The sequence below is a fragment of the Homo sapiens genome, chromosome 20 (assembly GCF_000001405.40).
Source record: "Homo sapiens chromosome 20, GRCh38.p14 Primary Assembly".
Taxonomy (NCBI): domain Eukaryota; kingdom Metazoa; phylum Chordata; class Mammalia; order Primates; family Hominidae; genus Homo; species Homo sapiens.
In genome coordinates, this window is record NC_000020.11 from 24,858,523 (window position 1) to 24,882,299 (window position 23,777).

Below are 23,777 nucleotides of genomic sequence, written 5' to 3' on the forward strand. Positions count from 1 at the left end.
TGTGTCTGGAGTTTGTTCCTTCAGATGTTCAGGTGTGTCCAGAGTTTCTTCCTTCCGGTGGGTTCGTGGTCTTGCTGACTTCAGGAGTGAAGCCGCAGACCTTCGCAGTGAGTGTTATAGCTCTTAAAAGTGGAGCATCCAAAGTTGTTTGTTCCTTCCGGTGGGTTCGTGGTCTCACTGACTTAAGGAATGAAGCCACAAACCCCGGTGCAGTGAGTGTTATAGCTCATAAAGGTAGTAGGGACCCAAAGAGGCAGCAGCAGCAGCAAGATTTACTGTGAAGAGTGAAAGAACAAAGCCTCCTCAGCATGGAAGGGGACCCGAGTGGGTTACCACTGCTGGCTCGGGTGGCCTGCTTTTATTCCCTTATTTGGCTCTGCCCACATCCTGCTGACTGGTCCATTTTACAGAGTGCTGATTGGTACGTTTACAATCCTTTAGCTAGATATAGAGCGCTGATTGGTGCATTTACAATCCTTTAGCTAGATACAAAAGTTCTCCAAGTCCCTACCCTATCCAGAAGGCCAGCTGGCTTCACCTCTCAGAGGGACCAAAATCACGAGTTAGATTGGGTGCATGGAGGCCAGCTGGCAGTGCACCAACCACAGGACCTCTGCCTGCACACTTTCTAGGGGCTGTCAGGATGACAGGAAGGCCCTGGTGCCAGCATCCTGGTGCCCAAAGGAGAGCACTGGGAGGTCCTCAGATACCTAAAGGCGGGTTCACAGGGGTACAGACCACCCCCAAAGGAAAATCCCCAGCGTCCAGTCCCTGCACCCCTGAGGGAAGCCGCCCCCAGGTACTGTTCTAGTCAACTTTGATCAGCAGCCTACAGGCGGACCCTCGCAGGACCAACCACACGGGAGGGGCACAGGCGGACCCTTGCGGGACCCACCAGGCAGGAGGGGCACAGGGCTGGGAGGGAAGGCGCATCTATTGACAGCAAATCAGAGAGGCCCTGGTGGGCTAGCATCGGGCCAAAAATCACCTGATGTGAGGTCCTGCATTTGACCTCAAACATTTATTATCCAGAAATGATATAGAAGAGACTCAAATTACCAGCAGTTCCTGTGGAACTGCAGAACATTTTTAACTCCTCAGAAGCCTCCATATGAACCAACACTAACTTGGCTATTAGAACTGTTAGTGTATGAGCTGGGGCATCTGCAGAGGCTCCAAGGAGTTCTGTGGCTGCCGCCAGTCACCTCCCTGTCTCTGCCTCCATCACCCTCACATCGCTAGTATCCACTCCGTCTTCGTCTTGCAGTTCATACCTGAGCTTCAGACATGTCTCATCTACCCGCGAGGCCTTTCTGCCTGAGCATCTCACAGACACCTAAAAGTGAACACAGCACCCACTGTCCACCTGCCACAATCACGCCATAACCGTTCCTGTCAAGCCTGCAGCCCAATTCCCACGGCTCCAGGTGGCCCCAGCACCACCACAGCCACCAGCGTAGATGCCTGAGTGTTGTCTCGAATCCATCCCCGTTCCTCTTCCTCACCCTCTGCCAACACCACTTACCATAGGGCATCCTCTGCTGACCAGTGACTGCCTGCCTTGGCTCTGGCTACCAGCATCTCTTGCCATCAGCACCCCCTGCCTGGGCCACAGCAACAGCCTCCCATTTGGTCTCTTTTCTTCATTTCACTTCCTCTGGTCCATTCACCGAAGAGCAAGCAGAATTATTTTTCAAAATGCAATTCCAATTGTTATCACACCTCTTCTCCACATTCCTCATCTCCTGCAGAGTAAAACCCAAACCCTGCAGCAACGCTTCTGAGGGCCCTCGTGACCCAGCTCCTGCACTCTCTCCCAACCTGCCTGCCACTCCCAGTCTATGTAGGACCCCCTCCCCCTTGCTGTACATTCGTCCCTACCACGCTGTCAGTAGGCGCTGTCAGTAGGCACTCCCATTTCAGCCCACCCCAGCTCCTTGGTAAGTCTCCACCGCTCCTAGCAAATGTCAATTCTGTGACGAGCTCCCCACTCCAAAAGCAATCTTCTCCTCTCTGCTTGAATGTTCTCCAGTGATGGCACTCATCACACTGTATATGAATTTCTGCTTACGTGTCAGTCTCAGACACAAGACTGAGCAACTTGAGGGCAAGACCATGTCTTGTTTCTGTAACCCCAGCAACAGGCTCAGAGTCTTCAAATGCTTATACAGAAAAGTTAGTTTGTTTGTTTGTTAATGCCTAAATAAATGGGTGGATAGATGGAGGGAGGTTTGGGTGGATGGAGGTTTCGGTGGAGAGAGCTAAGGGAGGGAGTTTTGGGTGGAAGCAGGTTTGCAGGGAGGGAACTGTGGGTGGGTGGGTGGATGGATGGATGGATGGATGGATGGATGGATGGATGGATGGGTGGGTGGATGGGTGGATGGATGAGTGAGTGGGGTCTACCCTCCATTCCTTTGTATACTACATTGCCCCCTCCTGCTGCACTAGCTAAGTCTCCATCAGGCATCTTCTCCTGGTGGCTTTTACAGCAGCAGGTGCTGTCCTTCCAAAGCCAGCCCAGGGCCCACCAGTGTGCGAACATGTATATGGCAGGCATCTCTAATAAGACCCAAAAGGCAGAGGGAGCTTTGGGGCATAGCAGGGTGCTGCCTCTTGAGCTGCTTATGGGAGCTGTGACCCTAGCTGCTGGAAGGAGAAGGGGGCCTTTCCAGATGGGTGTGAGAGCCACAGATGAGTTCCTAAAGGAAGTCCTCAGGACCAGAGGAAAGTCATTGCATCACTGTCTCCAGTTGGAAATTATCCCTTGGAGGAAATGAGATAGAGGGAATGACACCCAGAAGAGGAGAGGCAAAGCAACTTCCCTGAACTTTTCATAGCCTGCAACTGCCAAGCAACCAGTGACTCTGGAAGCCATGCTGAATAATGAGTAGGGAGCAGTGACTGTTTGCAGATCCATTACATTGAAAAATGGAAGGGAATTTTATTGACTACTAATTAAAATCTTATCCCCTTTCAGAGCATCTGGCAATACAGCAAAAGCACTCATTACGTGTACAGGACTCAAAATATATGGGCAATCAGTGTATTTTTATCCTTTGAGAAACATTCAAAGGACTTAATGCCCAGATCTTGAGAAGGGTCCAGTGATTGGAAAACATTCTAGTGGTGTTTAAATGCCAACATCCAGAACGCCTTTAAAGGTCTGCACTTTTGTTGGTTGTCATTTCATGCAGTGCTATTTACTTATCTCTCATGACTTAAAAGCAAGAGCTACTTGAATTCTGGTTGAAGCTTTATTACATCAGCTATCAAGAGATATTTTTATGTTAAGGCCCTTTGTTTTGTTGTCTGTTATCTTGGCAAATCAGAGAGGCAATAAGATGCCAGCAGGATAGATCTAAAGGTGAAATATTTTCTAAGGAACCATTGTAATATTGTAAGTCAAGCTTCCATCTAATTTAATACGTGGTCAGGTTTCTATTGGCCTTGGTTTAATAGTCACTCAAAGTGAAGGAAAATGGATAGAAAGAACAGACAAAGAGAGAAGAAAGAAATAGCTGCCATTAGGGTACTAATATGTGGCCATTTTACAGACATAGAAACCAAGATTGAGAGAAATTTTTAAAGGGTAGCCCAGGGTCACACAGCTGTTGAGTTGTAAGGCCAGAATGTGAGGCTGGACTTACCATATGTCTGAAGTGGGTGAGGAGGAAGATTTGCAAGGAGAAAGCAATTGCAAAGCCCCCGCAGGGCAGCGTGGGCCCTGGGATCTGGCTGAGGCAGAAGGGGTTGTGGGGGCAAGGAGCTTGTCTAACACCAGAACCTGTCAGGGAACAAGGCCAGAGCCTCGGCTGTACAGCAGGGGGAACTGACACAGTTCTGATGCTGAAAGGAGACCTTGGAGTTTTGAAAGAGAAAGACCTCTCTGCTGAGAAGACAACACCTCTGTGGGCTGGGGCTGGAAGTCCCATTGCCTCTGTGGTGGAAAAGTACAAACTGAAAATCCAGGTTAAGGTAGACCTAGATCCGCAGTCTCCAGGCACCTGACAGAAGCAAACTTATATCCTGCCTGGAGGTATTTTCAACACAAACCACAAAGAATCCCCGCAGATAAACTTGAAATGCTGGCATCCCAGGTGATACTGGCACTGCTGGTCAAAGACCACACCAACAGGCACAGCTGACATCACCTCCGAGAGCCTGCTGTGTGCCATACATCATGTTGAATGATTAACAAGTGGGCACTCACTTAGCCGGTCCTTATCAGAACTTCAAAGCAGATAATACCGTTCCCACCAGGAGATGCTGCCTTAGAGAAGGCAGCGCGGTTTGCCATAGCAGGATAAACACAGGCCCTGGAGCCAGAGACCCCAGGGGCACATGCAGGCTACTCAGCAGGCAGAGGGTGCTACACGCCACTCTCTCCAGGCTCTCAAGTGGGCATCTGGCATGGTCATCAGCAAATGTCTAGGGAATGAAATTAGCCAAATAATTAATGCAAGAATAACATATAACAGACACATCTGAAATATAAGGCTACAGAAGAGTTGAAACTAAAATAATAAGAAAAACCTATTGTGGCAATGCTAACATCAGACAAAAAGCAGTAATACAGATAAGGGGCATTCTAGAATGACAGAAGGTGACAACCAAACAGAAATGCAATGTTCTAAACTATTGGCATGAAATAACATGCATCCTAAGCAAAACCTTGCAGAACCAAAAGGAGCAGTAGACAAGTCCACGACCATAGGGGTAGATTCAAACCTCTCTCTATATATAACTGACAGAACATGAAGGGAAAAAATCAGCAGAGATCTAGGAGAAACAACACAATGACCCAATTTGACCTGAATCCCAACAACCGCAGAGTGTGCATTGCTTCCGAGAGTACTTGGAGCATTCGCAACACTCAACAAAGTTCAAAGGACCAGTCATATGGGGAACATACACCATGTAACTAAGCTAGAAATCATTTTAAAATAACTAGAAAATCCCCATATGTTTGGATATTATGCAATACACTTCTAAATAACATGAGTCAATACATCTTTTCAGCCAAATTTCTCTTGCAAGCATTTGCACTAACCTCAACTCTCATGTTTAAGAAATTCCATTTCCCCACATCCCTGTCACTGCTTGATATGGTTTGGCTCAGTGACCCCAACAAAATGTCATCTCAAATTGTAATGCCTGCTTGTTGATGGAGGGACCTGCTGTTCTGGTGATAGTGAGTGAGTTCTCACAAGATCTGATGGTTTAAAAGTGCAGGACTTCTCTCTCTCTCTCGCCATCTTGTGAAGAAAGTGCCTGCTTCCCCTTCGCCTTCAACCATGACTAAGTTTTCTGAGGCTTCCCCAGCCATGCAGAGCTGTGAGTCAATTAAACTTCTTTTCTTTATAAATTATCCAGTCTCAGGTATTCTTTATAGCAGTGTGAAAATGGTCTAGTACAGGAAAATGTTACCAAAAGTGGGGCACTACTATACAGATAACCTGAAAATGTGGAAGCAATCTTAGAACTGGATAATGGGCAGAGGTTGGAATAGTTTGGAGGGCTCAGAAGAATACAGAATGATATGGGAAAATTTGGAACTTTCTAGAGACTTGTTTTGACCAAACTGTTGATAGTGATATGGACAATGAAATCCAGGCTGAGGTGGTCACAGGTGGAGATGAGAAACTTATTGGAAACTGGAGCAAGGGTCACTTTTTCTATGCTTTAGTAAAGAGACTGGCAGCATTTTGCCCCTACCCTAGAGATCTGTGGAACTTTGAACTTGAGAGAGAAGATTTAGGGTACATGGCAGAAAACATTTCTAAGCAGCAAAGCATTCAAGAAGTGACCTGGCTGATTCTGAAAGCATTTAGTCATACGCATTCACACAAAGATGGTTTGAAATTGGAACTTATGGTTAAAAGAGAAGCAGAACATAAAGGTTTAGAAAATTTGCAGCCTGACCATGTGGTAGAAAAAAAAAGAAAATCATTTTCTGGGGAGAAATTCAAGCTGGCTGCAGAAATTTGCATAAGTAACAAGGACTTGAATGTTAATAGCCAAGACAATGGGGAAAATGTCTCCAGGGCATTTCAGAGTTCTTCATAGCAGCCCCTCCCATCACAGGCCTGGAGGCCTAGGAAGAAAACATGGTTTGTGGACAGGCCCAGGGCCCTGCTAATCTGTGCAGCCTTAGGACATGGCACCCCAAGTCCCAGCTGCTCCAGCTCCAGCCATGGCTAAAAGGGGCCAAGGTACACATTGGGCCATGGCTTCCAAGGGTGCAAGCCCCAAGCCTTGGCTACTTCCACATGGTATTGGACCTGCAGGTGCACAGAAGACAAGAGTTGAGATTTGGAGTCTCCACCTATGTTTCAGAGGGTGTATGGAAATGCCTATATGTCCAGGCAGAAGTCTGCTGCAGGGGTGGAGCCCTCATGGAGACCCTCTGCTAGGGCAGTATGGAAGGGAAATGTGGGGTTGGAGCCCCCACAGGGAGTCCCCACTGGAGCACTGCCTAGTGGAACTGTGAGAAGAGATCTGATGGTTTTATAAGGGGCTCCCTCCTTCATTCACTCTTGGCTGCCACCATGTAAGATGTGCCTTTGCTTCTCCTTCACCTTCTGCCATGATTGTAAGTTTCCTGAGGCCTCCGCAGCCATTTGGAAATGTGAGTCAATTAAACTTCTTTTCTTTACAAATGATCCAGTCTTAGGCACATAGTTCTGGAGGCTGGGAAGTCCAAGAGCATGGCACTGGCATCTTGTGGGGATCTCCCTGCTACAGCTTCCCATGGAAGAGGGCATCACATGGAGACAGGACAAGAATGTGCCAGATGAGGTCTTCCTCTTCTTATAAAGCCACTGGTCCCATCATGGGGGCCCCACTGGGATGACCTTTTGTAACCCCAATCACCTCCCAAAGGCCCTACCTCCAATCAACATATGGATTTGGGGACTAAGTTTCCAACACCTGAAGTTTGGGGAACATATTCAAACCATAGCAGTCCCATATCCTGAAAGGCTCCTCCTGGCCCAAGTCTCAGGTGTGTGAGTAGAGCCAGCCCTGCAGGTGTGAGAAATTGTTTCCCTGACCCATAATATGGGAAACCCAGGTATGGATGCATGTGTCATGTCACATGAGCTCTGCAGGGCCAGGTGTGGGAGACAGTTTTGCTGTGGTGTGTGAGGGCATGTGACATCTCCACAGTGGGACAACCAGATATGGAGCCACAGATGTTCATGTCTCTGGCTCAGCTCCTGCCCTCAGGAAACACAGAGTGGGAAGAGAGACAAAAATCACACAGGAAAGGTGATAACAAGGTAGAATACAGGTGTCCTTAAAGTGTAGGCACAGAGAAGGCTCTAGGGTCATTCACAGGAGCAGTTCCTCCCTCTAAAAGAATCAAGGGCATCTGGCAGGGAAGCTGAGCCTCGAAAGGGGTTGGTCAGGAACATGGGGATAGAAGGGAGTGGAAAGTGTGGATGGAGGGAGCATGTGTGCATAGGTGTACAGGTGGGCACACATTAGCATAAGTGCTGGTTATCTCCTGCTACAAAACAGATTACCCAAACCTAGTGGCTTAGCACTCCAAGCATGTATTATCTCACACAACATCTGAGGGCAGGGATTGGGAGTGGCTCAGTTGGGTGTGGAGTTTCTGACTCAGGGTCTCTCACAGGCTGGTGGTCAAGGTGCAGCTGGGACTGTGGTCATGGAGGCGTGACTGAGCAGGAGAACCCACATCCATGGTGGCTCACTCACAGAGCTGTAGACAGATAGTCTCAGTGCCTTGCCTCCTGTACCTCTCTGTACAGCTGGTGGATCAGATGGGAACTGATCAGCACATGCTGCAAGGAAGCCTCCTGACACAGGAAAGAACCCTGGAAAGGAAGAAAGGGAGTTGTAGTCACTCCCACTCAGGGCCAGAAGTGGTGACAGCTCCCACCAGCCACACCAGGCACTGAGAAGAGTCCTCGAAGAATCTGGCCCCATTTGTGGGAACATCAGCCCTCAACTAAAGGCCTTTCTTGCTTGTTCCACTAATAATGTTTAAAAGTCAGACCAAAATGGATCCAACTGTTTCCAAATAACTTCATTGCATCCCAGAACAAAGCTCAAAAATATTTTAGAAATACAAAAGTGCCCAGCACCCAACAAGGTAAAATTCACAATCTATGACAGCCAATCAAAAATTACCAAGCGCATAAAGAAATAGGAAAATATGACCTATAACAAACATCAAAAACTACAAAATACTTAGTGATAAATCTGGGGAAAAAAAGGTGATGATGACCCATTGATCCTCCTCCCAGGTGTCCTGAGGAAACACACAGGAATGTTCTTCAGGTGTCGTGATAGCATTCAAGACAACCCACATGCCACCATCAGAAGGAGGGAGTAACTGAATGTCAAAGGCACATAAAAAGACTAACAGCTGACTGGGCACAGTGGCTTATGCCTGTAATCCCAGCACTTTGGGAGGCCAGGGCAGGTGAATCACCTGGGCTCAGGAGTTCAAGACCACTCAAGGCAACATGGTGAAACCCCGTCTCTACTAAAAATAGAAAAAAATTAACCAGGTGTGGTGGTGTGCCCCTGTAGTCCCAGCTACTTGGGAGGCTGAGGCAAGAGAATCGCTTGAGCCCCAGAGGCGAAGGTTGCAGTGAGCCGAGATTGCGCCACTGCACTCCAGCTTGGGCTACAGATTGAGACTCCATCTCAAAAAAAAAAAAAAAAAAAACACTAACAGCTGCACAAAGCAATGCCAGAGGCCCAGGAAGGACCGTGTGAATCTGAAAAGCATCAGGCTGAGAGCAGAGGTAAGAAATAGGAGATGGATAGTGCACTTGCATTCATTGAAAACACACAGATAGACCTTCACATCTCACAGAGTTTCAGAGTGGAAGTGTGTGGGGCAGGCTGAGGATGGTGACATGGGAGGAGCGGAGCTGGGGGCAGACAGAGTCCATGGAGCAACGACGCAGAGGCACTGCCAGCTCTGCAATGCCCTGCAGGCTCCACACCCCCGGGACCCCTCTTCACACACACCAGGTCACTGCTGATCCATCTTGAGGGTCCTCTGACCCTCAAGGGATGAGAAGATGGAAAGAGATACTGACAGGTGAGTTTATAAATGTGTTTTGGTCACAATAGCTAAATTTTGAATAACGCAGAATTATTGACACATAACAGACATCGGACTCTCTGTGCCTCCCAGGAGGAGACAAATGTCATTCTTTATCAGCTCTGTCCTGTGCATGCGCACGCCACACCTGCCTGCAGTAAAAGCATCCAGAAGAGTTTGAGGCTGTCCGTCTCCCACACTTCTTCCTACCACAAGCATTGCTGGGCACTTCCTGTGCGCCCGGCACCCCTTAGAGATCCATCCCTGGCCTCCCAACGCCTTCAGTCTGGCTACAGAGAATAGCTCAGGGTCTGATGAGGGCTATAAGGGATCCACCATGGAAGCCCCAGGGGAAGACTCCCCTCTCACACACTCCTCCATGTAGCTAGTTTTGAGCCCACTTATGTCAGATGCTGAGCTTGACGCCTACTCGGTGAAGAACAGGATGACCTAGACATGCTTTATGTCTGGTAGCCTGTGAAGGATGCTTTGGACAACACTGTAGATTGAGCCATAGTCTGCAAAAAACAGTCAGCTGAGCTCCAAGGTGTCCCCTGGGCCATGGGCAGATTAGCACTGCCTGGGAGTGTCTGCCCCAGAACCCATGGACACAGAGACACCACCCAACTCAGGCCGCTCCTGCTGGTACCCTATTTGCCAGCCTGCCCACGCCAGTGTCATTCATGGAGTCTCTCCCTGCGTCATCAAGTCCTCCCAGTGCCAGAGCCAGGTCTGTCCAGAGCAGGAGGTGGATCAGCTACCTCTGCCCACCAGGCAGGAGTTAGAGGATAGACCTGGAGTGGGAGTTTCAGCTACCCCAAAACTCAGCCACTTAAATTAACGGTCACTTTGTTTGCTAGGATTCTGCAAGCAGGGCTGGGCTCAGCTGGGGACATCTCCTGCTGGCCTAGCCAGCGGTCAGGCACATGCTGCGTGGAGCTGAAGGGTCAGTGGGGCCGGGCTCAGCTGGGAGGCTGGGGCAGCTGCACCTCACTCTCTCCACAAGTCTCGGGGCTCAGCACATTTTGCGGCAGCTCAGGCTCCCCCAGTGCAAAAGCAAAAGCTTAGGCCTCCTCGAGCTTAGGCCTGGAACTGGCACAGTTCCCTGTCACTCCCTCCTGCTTCATTGGTTACAGTGAGTCACATGACGGGGGACCCCGAAGCATAGATACCAGGAGGCTTGCTCACCAGTGACCTCAAAGTGACCGACTCCAGCAGAATGTGCCCCTAAACTTGGAGCATCCCTGCTCCCTCCCACCTTCCCCTGCTCCCCAACTGTGGCTGCATCCTGGTCCTCCAGCAGAATCCCATTCCCCTTTGGGCAGAACCTCTGACCTAAATTTCAGGCCACTCCCTGACGGCCCATCAGGTCTTGCCCACCCTCTCCTCCCAAAGGGATGGTGGCTGTGGCCAGACTGAGTCTCAGAGCGGCTTGGTTCCTACCAGCCTGAAAATGCCTGAGTCTCACTGCTGCTAAACCCCTATTCTCCTCGTGCCCACACACCCCAATCACCCACACAGAGGAGGAAGTGCTGATGGGATTGGCCAGGGCCAGGCATTCATGAGGCCCATGTTACTAGTGGGCAGGACTCCCATGCCTTCAAATTCACCATCCTCGCCTGACTCTAAGGCTCCACTTCTGCTTCTTGGTCATCGCATCTTCTCCCAACCCACCCACCAAGCTGAGCAAACCTGTCCTGAGATTCACATTGGGTTTGAGGTAGATACCTGCTTCGGCCCTCCAGTGTCAGCTACATTTCCAACCCATCCTCCTCCAGTGGCCCTGCATGAGGAAACAGTGGGGGTGCCTGCATCCCTTTATCACAGCCATGCCCTGAAGAACCTCTCCCAGTAGAAAGGCACTTGACATTTAATACTCAGAGTTCACAGAAAGGACATATCTCTCAGCTGATTTTTAAATGCAATCATGCTCTGCATGACGACCTTTTGTTCAACAACAGACCACATATAGGATGGTGGCCCCATAGATTATAATATCATATTTCTACTATACCTTTTCTATGTTCAGATATGTATAGATACACAAATACTGACCATTATGTTATAGTTACCCACAGTAGTCAGTACAGGGACATGTTGTACAGATTTGCAGCGTGGGAACAATAGGCCATACCATACAGCCTAGGTGTGCAGTAGGGTCTGCCATCCGGGTTTGTGTAAGTACACTTCCATGTTCATACGATAACAAAATCACATAAGGACACATTTCTCAGAACGTATCTGTCATTGAGCAATTTATGTCTGTACTTTTTTTCTGAAACAATTTTTATTAAGACATAATTCACATACTATGGAATTCACCCTTTCAAAATATAAAATTCAGTGGGTCTTCTTAGTATATTTACAAGGTTGTACAACTATCTAATTCGAGAACACTTTCATCAAAGAAATCCCATCCTCATTAGCAGTCACTCTCCACCTCTCTGTCCCCAGCCCTGGTGACCAGCAATCCACTGTCTGTATCCATGGATTTGCATATCAGAGGAATTCTACAATACGCAGCCTTTTGCGTCAGGCTTATTTCTCTTAGCATCAAGAATTATTCATGCTGGTGCATAAGTTAGTACTTTGTTCCATTTTATGGCTGGATATTTCCTCCTATGGCTATTCCACATGCTGTTGACCTATTCATCAGATGAACATCTGAGTCTGAGCTGTCCCCACCTCTTAGATATTATGAACAATGCTGCTATGAACGTTCATGTACAAGGTTTTGTGCAAATGCACATTTTCAATTCTCTTAGATGTATATGTAGGAGTGGACTGCTGGATGGGCTTAACTTCTTGGGGAACTGCCAAACTCTTTTCCAAAGTGGCTGCACCACTCTCATTCCCAGCAGCAGTGGCCAAGGGCCCTGACTGACCCACATCCTCAGCAACACTTGTTACCATCCATCTTTTATATCGTAGCTCTCCTAGCAGGCCTCAGCGGATTTACAGGGGAACATTTCATTTTTACGTTCCAAAAATTTCAGTACACAAGTTTTAACAAAATGATGGCAAAAAAAGTCTCAAGCCACTTTCCAAGTACAATTAGTAGAATGTGTGAATCACATGTGATGTTTACAACTACATGACTTCTCTACTCCACAAGCTGTTCTCCAATGCAGCCCTAACACTGCTCCACTGAGAAGGCCCTCCTCCCTGGACCTACCGACCAACAGACAGAGGTGACGTGATGTGACTTTGAGACACGTCCTAAGGCAAGGCAGCTCCACCTGTTCTCTGCAGCCCTCACTCCTGGAGCCCTGGCCATGTCAGAAGTCCCGCTGTGATGAGCTGCCACACGCAGAGCCCCTGAGAGGGCGCTGGGGGATGACACGGCCCCCCGCTGCCAGACTTGGGCTTTCCCAGCTGAGGCCCCAACACTGTGGAGCAAAGTCCAGCTGGCCCCTGTATCCTCCCCAGCCCAGACTCACAGAAACTATGAGCACAACAAAATGGCCACCCTGGGCCCCCTGCTGTAGGGTCAGCCTTCACACAGTGACAGTACTGCAGCTGCGGTGGCGATTGCCCTGAACAGGGCTGGTCCAAGGGCAGTGCAGTCACCCCTTGTGGTCCTTGCACAGCTGTGCTGAAGTCATGCACCGCTGACCATGCAGGGACAGGCTGAGCATGGGTCATCACAGCCCCACAGATTCTCCCTCACCAGGAGGCACGATCTCATGTTTCTGTTATGTTTGGGGGACTTGTTCAGGGATCTTAATTATAAATAAGCACTTTATCGTGTTTTAGATACATTTTGGGGACTTGCATGGAGGGTTTAGGGCAACAAGCAATGCATTATCATTTTTCCCATTTAAAGTAATGGGAGCAGGCTCCCGGTTTGTGCTGTCAGACAGGAAGTCTCATTTTAGCAGCAGATTGTCAGCATCAAGCAAGCCATGCTTGGACTGGCCTCTGCCCAACCTGTGTGGGTGACGCCCTCAGGACCCCACATGGAGGCGCACTGTTGGCATCAGGCTGTACTCAGCCCAGGATCTTATGCCCTCTGACCCCATCAGACAACATCAAAAATCCCCTCGAGGTACCACCCTTCTGCTGGAGGGAGCCCCTGCTCCTGCCCCAGGCACAGGGTGCTTTGAGAATCTGCCGGCTAAGCCTGCACATCCTGCAGCCACGGGCATGCCCCAGGCCAGTTCCTCCTGCTTCCACCTTCCTCCCTGCCCCTCCTGGAGCCCGGGCTCCCCAGCTGCCCCTCAAGACCCAAGTATCCATGAGGAGACGCCAGAGGGAAGGGAGTGTGGCTGGATGTGCAGCGAGGGTGGGAAGACCAGAGGGTGTCAGTGGCTCCTAACTCCCACTCATTGCCTTTCCTTGCCAAGTCCTCCTTCCAGAGCCTCCTGCTGTGCGCAGAAGGAGAAGAAGGGAGGGACAGGAGAGGAGCTGGGAGGTGGGATGGGGGAGGCACAGCGAGGCTCTGAGATATTTCTCAGGGGAGCAAGTGCAGCCCTAAGCAAGGCGGGCCATTCTGGGCTGGGGTTTTATCTGCTGCACTGGAATCAATGAGATAAACGGGAGGCCTTTCACTAGGAGCCTTGGCACACAGCAGCGTCAGGGTTCCTCTCATGATGCAGCAGGGGAGCAGAGTGGGGCTCTCCATCAGCCCCTGCAACTAGGGGCTCTCTTTGATACTTAGAGAAGAGAGAGCAGAACCAGGCTGAGCCCCAGGTAAGCCCACTCTACCCTGAAACACACACACATGCACTCCCACAGTGGCCCTGGAGACCACCAACACATTCGTCACCCGGTCACTCACCTACAGCCCTCATTCCTCCAGCAGGACACAGCAGTCAGGCATCAAGGCCATCTGAGGTCAGGAGAGGCAGCTCATGTTAGAAGGAAAGGGAGGTGGCCCCACATTAGGCATGGGCTGTCTGGGGCCAGGACACTCAGTGGGAAGCAAAGCTGTGATCCCTCTCCCTGACATGCCCAGGCGGCAGTGGGGCTAGGGCCCTCAGGCCTGCAGGTGGAGTTGGCTCCCTATGGTCTGGAAACATAATCGCTTTATCCCCATAGTGACTACCAGCAGCATCCCCAGGGGAAGGGGGAGGGTGGCAACCAGCCCCCACCATGGGGACCAGGAGGAGGAGAGGCTTCTGCTGCCGCCTGGCTGCCCTCCAGCTTGGCCCCTGCACCCTGTGAGGAGGGATGGGGGTTCCCGACTTCATTTCCTCTCCTGCTTCTCACTCTTTAGAGCTGGTGAGCAGCTGGCTGGGGGCCAGGGCGCTCAGGCACCGAGGTCGGGCTGCCCAGGTGGTGCAGGTCCCCGGGGTCTGAACCTGCTGGGAGGTGGCAGGGGAGGTGGTGCATGGGGACAAGCCTCAGCAGAGCCTGTGTTCAGCACACAGGCTTCCTCCCTCGAAGTGGGGTAACGGCAGCAGCTTCCAAGGGAGGCCAAGCACCCCAGCTCCCGTGCTGGGGACTGTGTGTAAAACCACCCAGGCTGGAGGCGCTGCTGCTTCTGTGCAACGCCTGTGCAACACAAGGACAGTGCTTGTGGGCGAGGGCCGTGTCCAGGGAGTGGAGCGGCTGTCCTCGCTGCCCCCACTGACTGACACACGACAGATGAAACAAAAACAGCGCTCACTGGAGTGTGCTGGGTGGGTCACCCTTGAGTGAGGCAAAGCAGACACACAGAGATGGTGACCTGATCACTGGGGTTGCAGGGAGAGCCTCGGCCCCCAGACTCAGGGACCAGACAGCTCCACCGGCCGGGCACGTGAACCCCGCAGGCTGCGGGGAAGGAGGCCAGCCTCCGTGGGGGTGCTTCTCGTGGGGTCAGACTGCCGCGTCTTCTCTGGTGTCCTCTGGAGGGAGGCAGCACAGGACGGAGCAGCTGAACAGGAAGGAAGCACGCAGGGAGACAGGGACTGCCGGGGCCGCTGTCATCGCTGGGTGTCCTGATCCTACTTCCTCCTGACACCCCTGCCCCTGTCTGGTCATGGCAGGAAGGCCTCGTCCAAGGGAGCACATCCCCGACCACAGGGGTACTGAGGCCACCTCGCCCTCTGCCCAATGACTTCAGCACGCTAGCTCCATCAGAAGGTCTCTGTTGGAGGAGAGGATGCCCAACTGCTTAGGGCTCCAAATGAGAAAGGAAACATTGCTGTAGGAGGCCACCACCACCAATCATTTCCTTTCCAAAGGAAGCCAAAAACACACACAAAGCCACGGCCTCCTCATGACCACTGTGTCTGGCACCACCTTGGACCCTAACGTCTGTCTGGGGCCCTGTCCCATGCCGCACCCTGGGTCAGCTCCCACCACTCAAATCTTCACCCCACACCATGTGCCCTCACCCCAGGAGGGATTACACAAGGGAGGGCAGAGGGTGGAGAACAGTTACACACCCCCAATTCCTGAGCCAAGGACTGCCCAGACAGGGGTTCACATGGCCACTCAGAGACTTTGTCCTCACTCCTGCCCAGGATGCCATGGGGAAGAGCAAGATAGCATCGAAGCCTTCATGAGTGGGGGTTCCCGAATGTCTGCCCAGGCCTTTGAGAAGGACCCTACACCTGACTGTGAGAATGCGGCACGAGAACTGTTTCCTTTTGTGTTCTCAAATGAAGGGCTCGGGTGAAAGCTTTCTGTCCGATATCCGCCTGTTAGAGTTCTAAACCTCTTGCTTTCTACCTGATAAAATTGGTTTATGTATACGTTTGGGGCCTGGCAGGGAGAAAGGAGAATGTCCTGCTATCTGGGCACAAGGCCCCCAGAGCACCCTCTAGACTCCCCGCTGCAGCCCCACCCCGAAGGCCCCACAGAGAACAAAGCAAGCCTGGGTCTCCAATTCAAGATCAGTGTGGGGTCTCATCCACTGCTCTTGCATCTGGTGCCACCCCTGCACCCCCTGTTCTTCCTTCTTCCTGCTCACGCTGGGCCTCAATACCGTCAGCCTCCTGGAAGCCCCCAGACACAGGTGGAGGCCTCCCATTCAGACGTGGCAGGCCTTCTCCAGCAACCTGTGCTTCAGATGCCTTTTCAGGGACAGGCCACTGGCATCATTTGTGCTGGAATGTAAATGACTGACTGGCTCCCTGACGCGTGGCTGCTTTCTAAGAGGAGGGCACTCCTGTCTGTGGCTCAGCATGTACTTGCCTCTCTTCCCTCCCAGGCCAGCAAATGAATTCTACAGGGAATGAACCTCTTGCCACAAAAAGAACTGGAAGCAGGTGGTCAGCAAGCCAGCACGAGATTACAATCAATTTCTGGAAGGCAGAAGCAGATGGAAACGTGTTGGTGATGAAACAGGGCGGGAGCTGCATCCCAAAATACAGGCAGGTGGGCAAGTCTTCCTGGAAGGACCCAGAGAGGCCTGGGCTCAACCACAGGGAGGGGACATTTGGGAAGCATCGTTGGGAAAGAGCAGCAGGACACACCAAGGAAGGGGGACCCACCTCCTGCCCCTTAAGCAGGAAAGTCAAGGAGACTGGCCTGTCCCATCAGGTCCCAACAGACAGCATGTTCCTTCCTGCTCAGAGCAGCTCCTGGACCTGGGGCAACCAAAAGCAAAGTGAGACCTTCCCAAGTCCAGGCGAGGACTCTCCCTCACCTGGCTCTCCCTCCCTGTGACTGCTGACCAGCAAAATGGGTTATGCCAGAAAGAGCCCAACCCAGCCAGGACCTCAGAGCTCAGGCCTCCTGCTTCGCCTGCCCAGGAGGGACCAGCCAGCCCAGCCCAACCTTCAGCTGCCCTGTGTCCAGGGCGTGCCTGGCATGTGCCCAGAACACGACTGATGCTGTGGGAGACAAAGAGCACCCCACCCGTAAGGGGTCCCAGCACTCACGGTATGATGCAAGCAAATAAAGTCAACGGATGACAGAGCACCCTGCAGGAACATAAGCTTCCCACGTCCTCAGCTCTTCCTCCTCTATCCCCACAGACACACACACCTGGGGCCTGGAGATCCCAGTGAGGAGAAATGCCTCAGGTGGCAATTTATACACCCCAGCCTGATTCAGAGCTGGATCCATTTAATCCTCATTCCAACTCTATGCAGTAGGGATCATCACCCTCCTTTTACAGAAATGGGAACCAAGGCACACAGCTAAGTAAAGGGGCCGGGACTCGAACCCAGGGGTCTGCCCTGAGAGGGAGCACTTACCCTGCTCAGTACTGCCTGGCAACAGCACACTGTTCATGCTTTAGTTATTTCTTAAATGTATACACAGTAAAAGTCATTGTTTGGGGTTACAGTTCTAAGGGTTTTGACAACTGTATGCAGTCACACAACCACCACCACAATCAAGATTCATAATGGTCTCATTACCGCAAAACAATCCTTATGCCGTCCCTCTGTGGTCAGCCTCACACCCACCCCAGCCCCTGGCTGCTGCTGTTCTGTTCTGTGTCCAAATATCAACAACACATTTGTTTGGTTGTTTTGTTGTTTGTTTTTTGAGACAGGGTCTTGCTCTGTTACCCAGGCTAGAGTGTAGTGGCGTGATCTTGACTCACTGCAGCCTCAACCTCCCAGGCTCAAATGATCCTCCTACCTCAGCCTCCTGAGTAGCTGGGACTACAGGTGCATGCCACTATCCCTGGCTAATTTTTTTTCTAATTTTTGTAGAGACAGAATCTCACTTTGTTGCCCAGGCTGCTCTCGAAATCCTGGTCTCAAGTGATCCTCCCACCTCAGCCTCCCAAAGTATTGGGATTACAGGTATAAGCAACCACACCCCACCAACAGCACATTTTTAAAGACAAGTCTGTTGGTATACAGGACTTCATCCCTCTCCCAAAGCCATGCCCCTTAGAATCCAGGGACAATGTGAATTAAGACCAAAAACATGTGAGTGACCAAAACTTAGAAACATTTATGACATGTCTCCCACATAACTGGAGTCAAAAGTTACCCGGCCAAGCCTGGATTGAATAGAAAAGCTTCACAAAGATTCAATAAGCCCCAAATCATATGACTTCCTGAGTCTTCTCATTCCTAGTTGTAAAAGTTAACAGTAACCACAACCTGACATGGTAGTCACATGTAAAATAATGAAGTTGTGCCCTACCTCACACCACGTACAAAAAATTAACTCAAAGTGGGTCAAAGACCTAAACATAAGAGGGAAAACTATATAGCTCATAGAGGAAAACAGGTAAAGGTTCATGACATTGGACTCAGCAATGATTTCTTGGATATGACAACAAAAGTGCAAGCAACAAAAGGAAAATGCACAACTTGGACTTCATGAGAATTAAAACCTTTTGTGCAACAAAGGTACTATCGACAAAGTAAAAGGGCAACCCATGGAATGGGAGAAAATATTTGCAAATCACTTATCTGGTAGGGGATTAATATCCAGAATTTATAAAGAACTCCTGAGACTCAATAACAATAAAACAAACAATCCCATTTTTAAATGGGCAAAGGACTTAATAGACATTTCTTCAAAGAAGACATAAACATGGCCACTAATTGCATGAGGCCAGGTGTGGTGGCTCATGCTTGTAATCCTGTCATTGTGGGAAGTCAAGGTGGGCAGATCACTTGAGGCCAGGAGTTCGAGACCAGCTTGGGCAATATAGTGAGACCCCCATCTCTACTAAAAATTTTTAAAATTTTTTAAATAAGTGCATGAAAAGATGCTCAACATGACAGATCATTAGGGAAATGCAAATCAAAACCACAATGAGATACTACCTCACACCAATTAGGATGGTCAAAATACAGAGAAAGAGAGAGAATAACAAATATCAGTGAGAACGTGGGGAAATTGGAACGCTTGTGCATTGCTGGTGGGAATATAAAATGGTGCAGCTGCTGGGAAAAATAGTATGGTGGCTCCTCAAAAACCTAAACATAGAATTACCTTACGGCCCAGCAATTTCATATCTGGATATACAGTCAAAATAATTGAAAGCAAGGTTTTGAAGAGATATTTGTATACCTATGTTCATAGCAGCATTATTCACAATAGCCAAAAGATGAAAACAACTCAAGTGCCCATCGACAGATGAGTGGATAAACAAAGCACGGTGTACACACACAATGGAATGTTATTTAGCCTTAAAAAGGAATGAAGGTGCAATACATCCTACAATGTGGATAAACCTCAAAAGCGTTATGCTAAATGGAATAAGCCAGACATAAAATGATAAATAATGTATGATTACACTTACATGATATACCTAGAATAGGCAAATTCAGAGAGACAGAAAGTAGAATAGTGGATACCAGTGGCTGGAGGGAGGAAGTGTGGGCACTTACTGGTTAATGGTTACAGAGTTTCTATTTGGAGTGATGAAAGAGTTTTGGAAATGAATAGCAGTAACCACAACACTGTGAATGTAATTAATGCCACTGAATTATATACTTAAAAATGGTTAAAATGGCAAATTTTATGTTATGTGTATTTTACCAAATTTTTAAATTAATAATACACCAAAAGCCATTGAATGTATACTTTGAGTGAATTGTATAATATATGAACTATATCTCAATAAAACTATTTAAAAAGAGAAAAAATCTTAGTAGTGGCCACCACCTGGCACAAGGCACTGGGGAAGGCTTGTGCCCTTGGCCTTTGGTGCTGGGACAGTTAGTATTTTGTGGTCATTAGCATCTGCCTGTAAGTCACAAGGCACACCAGAAACTTCAAAATTTCAATTCTTCTGTGCCAGATTAAAAAAAAAAAAAAAAAAAAAACGGATAGTTTCCACCTTTCCTGGCCACAGCCCCATTTTTTTTATTATACTTTAAGTTTTAGGGTACATGTCACAATGTGCAGGTTAGTTACATATGTATACATGTGCCATGTTGGTGTGCTGTACCCATTAACTCGTCATTTAACATTAGGTATATCTCCTAATGCTATCCCTCCCCACTCCTCCCACCCCACAACAGGTCCCAGCCTGTGATGTTCCCCTTCCTGTGTCCATGTGTTCTCATTGATCATTAAAAAGTCAGGAAACAACAGGTGCTGGAGAGGATGTGGAGAAATAGGAACACTTTTACACTGTTGGTGGGGCTGTAAACTAGTTCAACCATTGTGGAAGTCAGTGTGGCGATTCCTCAGGGATCTTGAACTAGAAATACCATTTGACCTAGCAATCCCATTACTGGGTATATACCCAAAGGATTATAAATCATGCTGCTATAAAGACATATGCACACGTATGTTTATTGCAGCACTATTCACAGGCCTATTTACAAGAACTTAGCTGAGCACCAGGCCGGAGACTTGTTTGCACAGCAATGACCTGGGGACCCAAGGACTGCCATGGACCTGCCGGGAGCTGCGAAGCCCGCACATGGGACACACTAGGAAAGGTGGCTGGTCTTAAGTTCTCTACCCTGCTCCTCACCAGCTCTATTTCATGTTAGACCTCATAAAAGTGGTTAGCATTATAATTGAAAGAACACGTGCAAACTATTGGCTTCATTATGTTGTTATCAATCTCCTGGAGGCATTACATATGACTTATTGATTATTTAAAGAGGAAGAACACCTCATTTCTTTATATGCACATTCTCTTCTGGACATTAGCAGCACTGCATATGCACAGATGTCAAATCGAGTGAGAAATTCAGACTGGAGAGAATAGGCTAGGATCCATTGTGGGCTCTTCATCAGGAGAGTTGCTGGAGGGAAGCAGAAATTGGGGATTACTCTGATAGCCCTATGCAGTGCTGGACAAGACAGACTGGCCTAGACCTCACCAACTAGAGTCTGATATGACAAATTGTCATTACCACGTGCAGGACTCTTGTCCACAGTGGGCCCTGGAGCTACCAGGACAGGCCTCACAAAACTGCAGCAATGAGAACCATTAACTGGACTGGTTCTCCATGCCAGACACAGCTGCCTCTGGCCATGCCTGAGAAAACTGAGCCTTCGTGAGACTGAGAATCCCTAAGCCACACAGAGTGGAAGCAGCAAAGCCAAGTGCCTAGACAAAGCCACCTCCTTCCCTGAGCCCCACACCCTGATTCCTCAGCAATGGCCACTGGGCTCAAACAACTCCAAATAAAGTGAGAAGGAGGCAGCACAGAGGGCCTGGGGTACGGAGCACCTGGATCAGAGCTAAAGCTCAGCAACATCTGCCGACATTATTCTCAACTGCATACAAGTCACGAGACTATTCACAGGGTCCACTGACTGGCACTATGGTCATCGGAACACTAATTCAATCCACTGCACCACCTTACTCTGAGTAGCAAGATTACACATCCAGAACCTTGCCATGCACTTTGTGGTTGCCCCACTTAAGAGGCAGGGGACATTTCCCTGCCCCTGGCCTCTGGGTTTGGCCAATAGGATAGAAAAGGGCAGAAGTAATGGTGCCCCGACCCCAAGAAAAGCCCTGGAGGCCTTGTGTTCTTCCACTTGCCTTGTCGTGCTTCTCCCAGGACCACGTGCACACTCCCAGGCCTGCCTGCTGGAGCACTGGAAACAGAGGGAGCACAGCCCCTGGCCTCCATCAGCAACTCCCAGCCAGCTGGCCCAGCCGCTGGGCCTCAGCACCCTTGGTTACACAGCAAGAACTGGTTGGCTCGATGGTCATTTCTTCTTGCAAGGTGAGCAGTGTGGGCATCACTCTCCCACCCTGCTGAGGAGGCTGGGGTGCAGGGGTGCCCGAGATCATCTCAGTTGTATGTGATGATGCTGTAAGTTAAACACAGGTTGTCTGGGTCCCAGGCAAAGCACTCTGCTGTCTTCTTGCCACCCTTCCTGGAACAGAGCCAAGGTTCCTGAAATTACCTTTAACTGGATAGCTGTTTTCCACTGAAGCTTTCTGCTTCTGCTTCTGTTTCTGTTTCTTGGGCTCGGTGCATCAAGTTTCTTGGTTTCCATTAAAAGCCAACACCATGACGAGAAAAAAGAAAAGCTCTGGAAATGGCACAGGGCCTTTCTTTAAGGGATGTGGTTGTCAGCTCCGTGCATGAGACTGGTGTGTGATTGGACTCTCTGTTGGCAGCCTTCATGGGAATGTGCCAACTTGTGGTCTCCAACTTCCCAGCCAAGCCTTGTTCACAAATGTGTGAAAAATAAAGCTACCCTTTTTCAAGTTTTAACAGCAACTGTAAACTCATTCCAAGTCTCATGGTTAAGAGGTATGGGACATCTTGTTTTTCAGCCTGCTTCAGCTTAGGGGCACAGTCCTTGGTCATTTGTATTTATACATGATAGGTCTAACTTCTATATTACTAACATAATTAAATAGCATCATCTACCTTCACTCCTGGAAAACTGAGGAATTTTTAGGAGCCCAGTTCACTGCATAAATCAGGTCTTGAAACATGGACCAGTGCTCCCTACAGACAGTTACCAGCCTACTACATTTCTAAGACACTAGTGTGGCAAATAAAGTTAGCTGACAGGCATTTCTCCTTTTTCTGGCCAGCAAACCTCACTGGTGTTCACACAACTACAGCCTAACTCCAAGGGGGTGAGGGTGCATCATAAATTGGGCCAAGCCAGTCTAAGAAGACTAATTCCTTTTGAAGTGACTTGTTCATATGTGGACATACAACCCAGTACTGGCCAATGAGACATTAGGAGAAATCTTCTGCGGACTTTGAGGAAGACATTTTTCCTCTATGATAAAAAGAAAGGAGAAGCCAAGATGCATCTCTTTCTCTCTCTCTCACTCCCTCCCTTTTCACCCCCTCTCTTCTCAGGCAATCGATTTGCTGCTTGCCTGTGATCTTGTCTCTGAACATTATACATGGGGGAGATAGTGTGGGAAAACAGAACCTGGAGCTGAGGCAGCTGTCTTGTGAACACGATGCAGCAAGCCCAAAGACAAAAGTCCAACAGACCCAGGGTGGCAGACAGAAAAGATGGACAGACCCTGGGCCCTGGATGACAGCAATGAGCCACTGATTCAGCCCTGGCACCAGCTCCCTCTCTACTTGTAATGTGAAATAATTCTGTGACTTTTTCTGTTAAGTCTGGATGCTCAATTCCTTGCAATTGAAAGCAACAAACACACAGATGCAGCAACTTGTTTTATGAGGCCATGATAACGTTACTTCCCAAACCTGAAAAGGACACTTTGAGAATGGAACATTAGATGTCATTCTTTCTCATGAACATAAATGCAAATATCTTAAAGAAAATATTAGCAAATCAAATTCAACAGTATATTTGAATGGTAATAGAATGTTCAAGTTGGGCTTATTCCAGAAATGCAAGCTTGACCTATCATTTGTATTTCACCACATTAACATAATAAAGGAGAAAACCTATGGCCATTTCAATAAGTGCAGACAAGCATTTGATAAAACACCCACACATAGGTGGGGACAGGAGGGGCTACAATGGGACTGATCTGGATGATGGTCATATAAGTGTGTTCACTGTAAAAATTCCTGAAGTTGTAACTAATGAACTGGACATTTTTCCATATGTATGTTACAGTCCATTTGAAAAGCTTACTTAAGAATGATGGCTCAAATTTTCTCATAACAATTAAAATTAAATTGAATTAAAAGTTAAAATCTTTTCAAATAAAAAGCACCAGGCCCAGATGGCTTTACAGGCAATTTCCAGTCAGGTGACATATTGAACAAAAGTTCTCTGCAATTGCACAACTTCTCCAGAGCATGTAAGCACTTGAGTTACAAGGATGGTAAAACAAACCTAAATGACTCCTAATGCAAGATCACTCAAACCTAATGACTTCTAATGCAAGATCACTTAAAAATATAAATTTGAA

At 48.9% G+C, this 23,777-nt stretch overlaps 1 long non-coding RNA gene across 1 annotated transcript, besides 5 other annotated features; it reads right to left on the minus strand.

The window, feature by feature from the left end:
- Positions 10,057–10,556: an enhancer, noted in NCBI's record as "H3K4me1 hESC enhancer chr20:24849215-24849714 (GRCh37/hg19 assembly coordinates)". NCBI's record gives its function as "activates a minimal SCP1, AML or CMV promoter by ChIP-STARR-seq in naive H9 embryonic stem cells {active_cell/tissue: H9 hESC(naive)}" and the evidence as "EXISTENCE:reporter gene assay evidence [ECO:0000049][PMID:30033119]".
- Positions 12,769–12,828: an enhancer, noted in NCBI's record as "active region_17648". NCBI's record gives its function as "activates an Ori minimal core promoter by ATAC-STARR-seq in GM12878 lymphoblastoid cells {active_cell/tissue: GM12878}" and the evidence as "EXISTENCE:reporter gene assay evidence [ECO:0000049][PMID:35858748]".
- Positions 14,013–14,072: an enhancer, noted in NCBI's record as "active region_17649". NCBI's record gives its function as "activates an Ori minimal core promoter by ATAC-STARR-seq in GM12878 lymphoblastoid cells {active_cell/tissue: GM12878}" and the evidence as "EXISTENCE:reporter gene assay evidence [ECO:0000049][PMID:35858748]".
- Positions 14,193–14,282: an enhancer, noted in NCBI's record as "active region_17650". NCBI's record gives its function as "activates an Ori minimal core promoter by ATAC-STARR-seq in GM12878 lymphoblastoid cells {active_cell/tissue: GM12878}" and the evidence as "EXISTENCE:reporter gene assay evidence [ECO:0000049][PMID:35858748]".
- Positions 16,328–16,828: an enhancer, noted in NCBI's record as "H3K27ac hESC enhancer chr20:24855486-24855986 (GRCh37/hg19 assembly coordinates)". NCBI's record gives its function as "activates a minimal SCP1, AML or CMV promoter by ChIP-STARR-seq in primed H9 embryonic stem cells {active_cell/tissue: H9 hESC(primed)}" and the evidence as "EXISTENCE:reporter gene assay evidence [ECO:0000049][PMID:30033119]".
- On the minus strand, positions 20,208–21,945 carry LOC124904881 (uncharacterized). Its single transcript, XR_007067554.1, has 2 exons — positions 21,818–21,945; positions 20,208–21,721 (listed from the first exon to the last, which is right to left on the minus strand). It is a non-coding gene; the product is annotated as an uncharacterized LOC124904881 (long non-coding RNA).
- Positions 21,946–23,777: the final 1,832 nt, after the last annotated feature.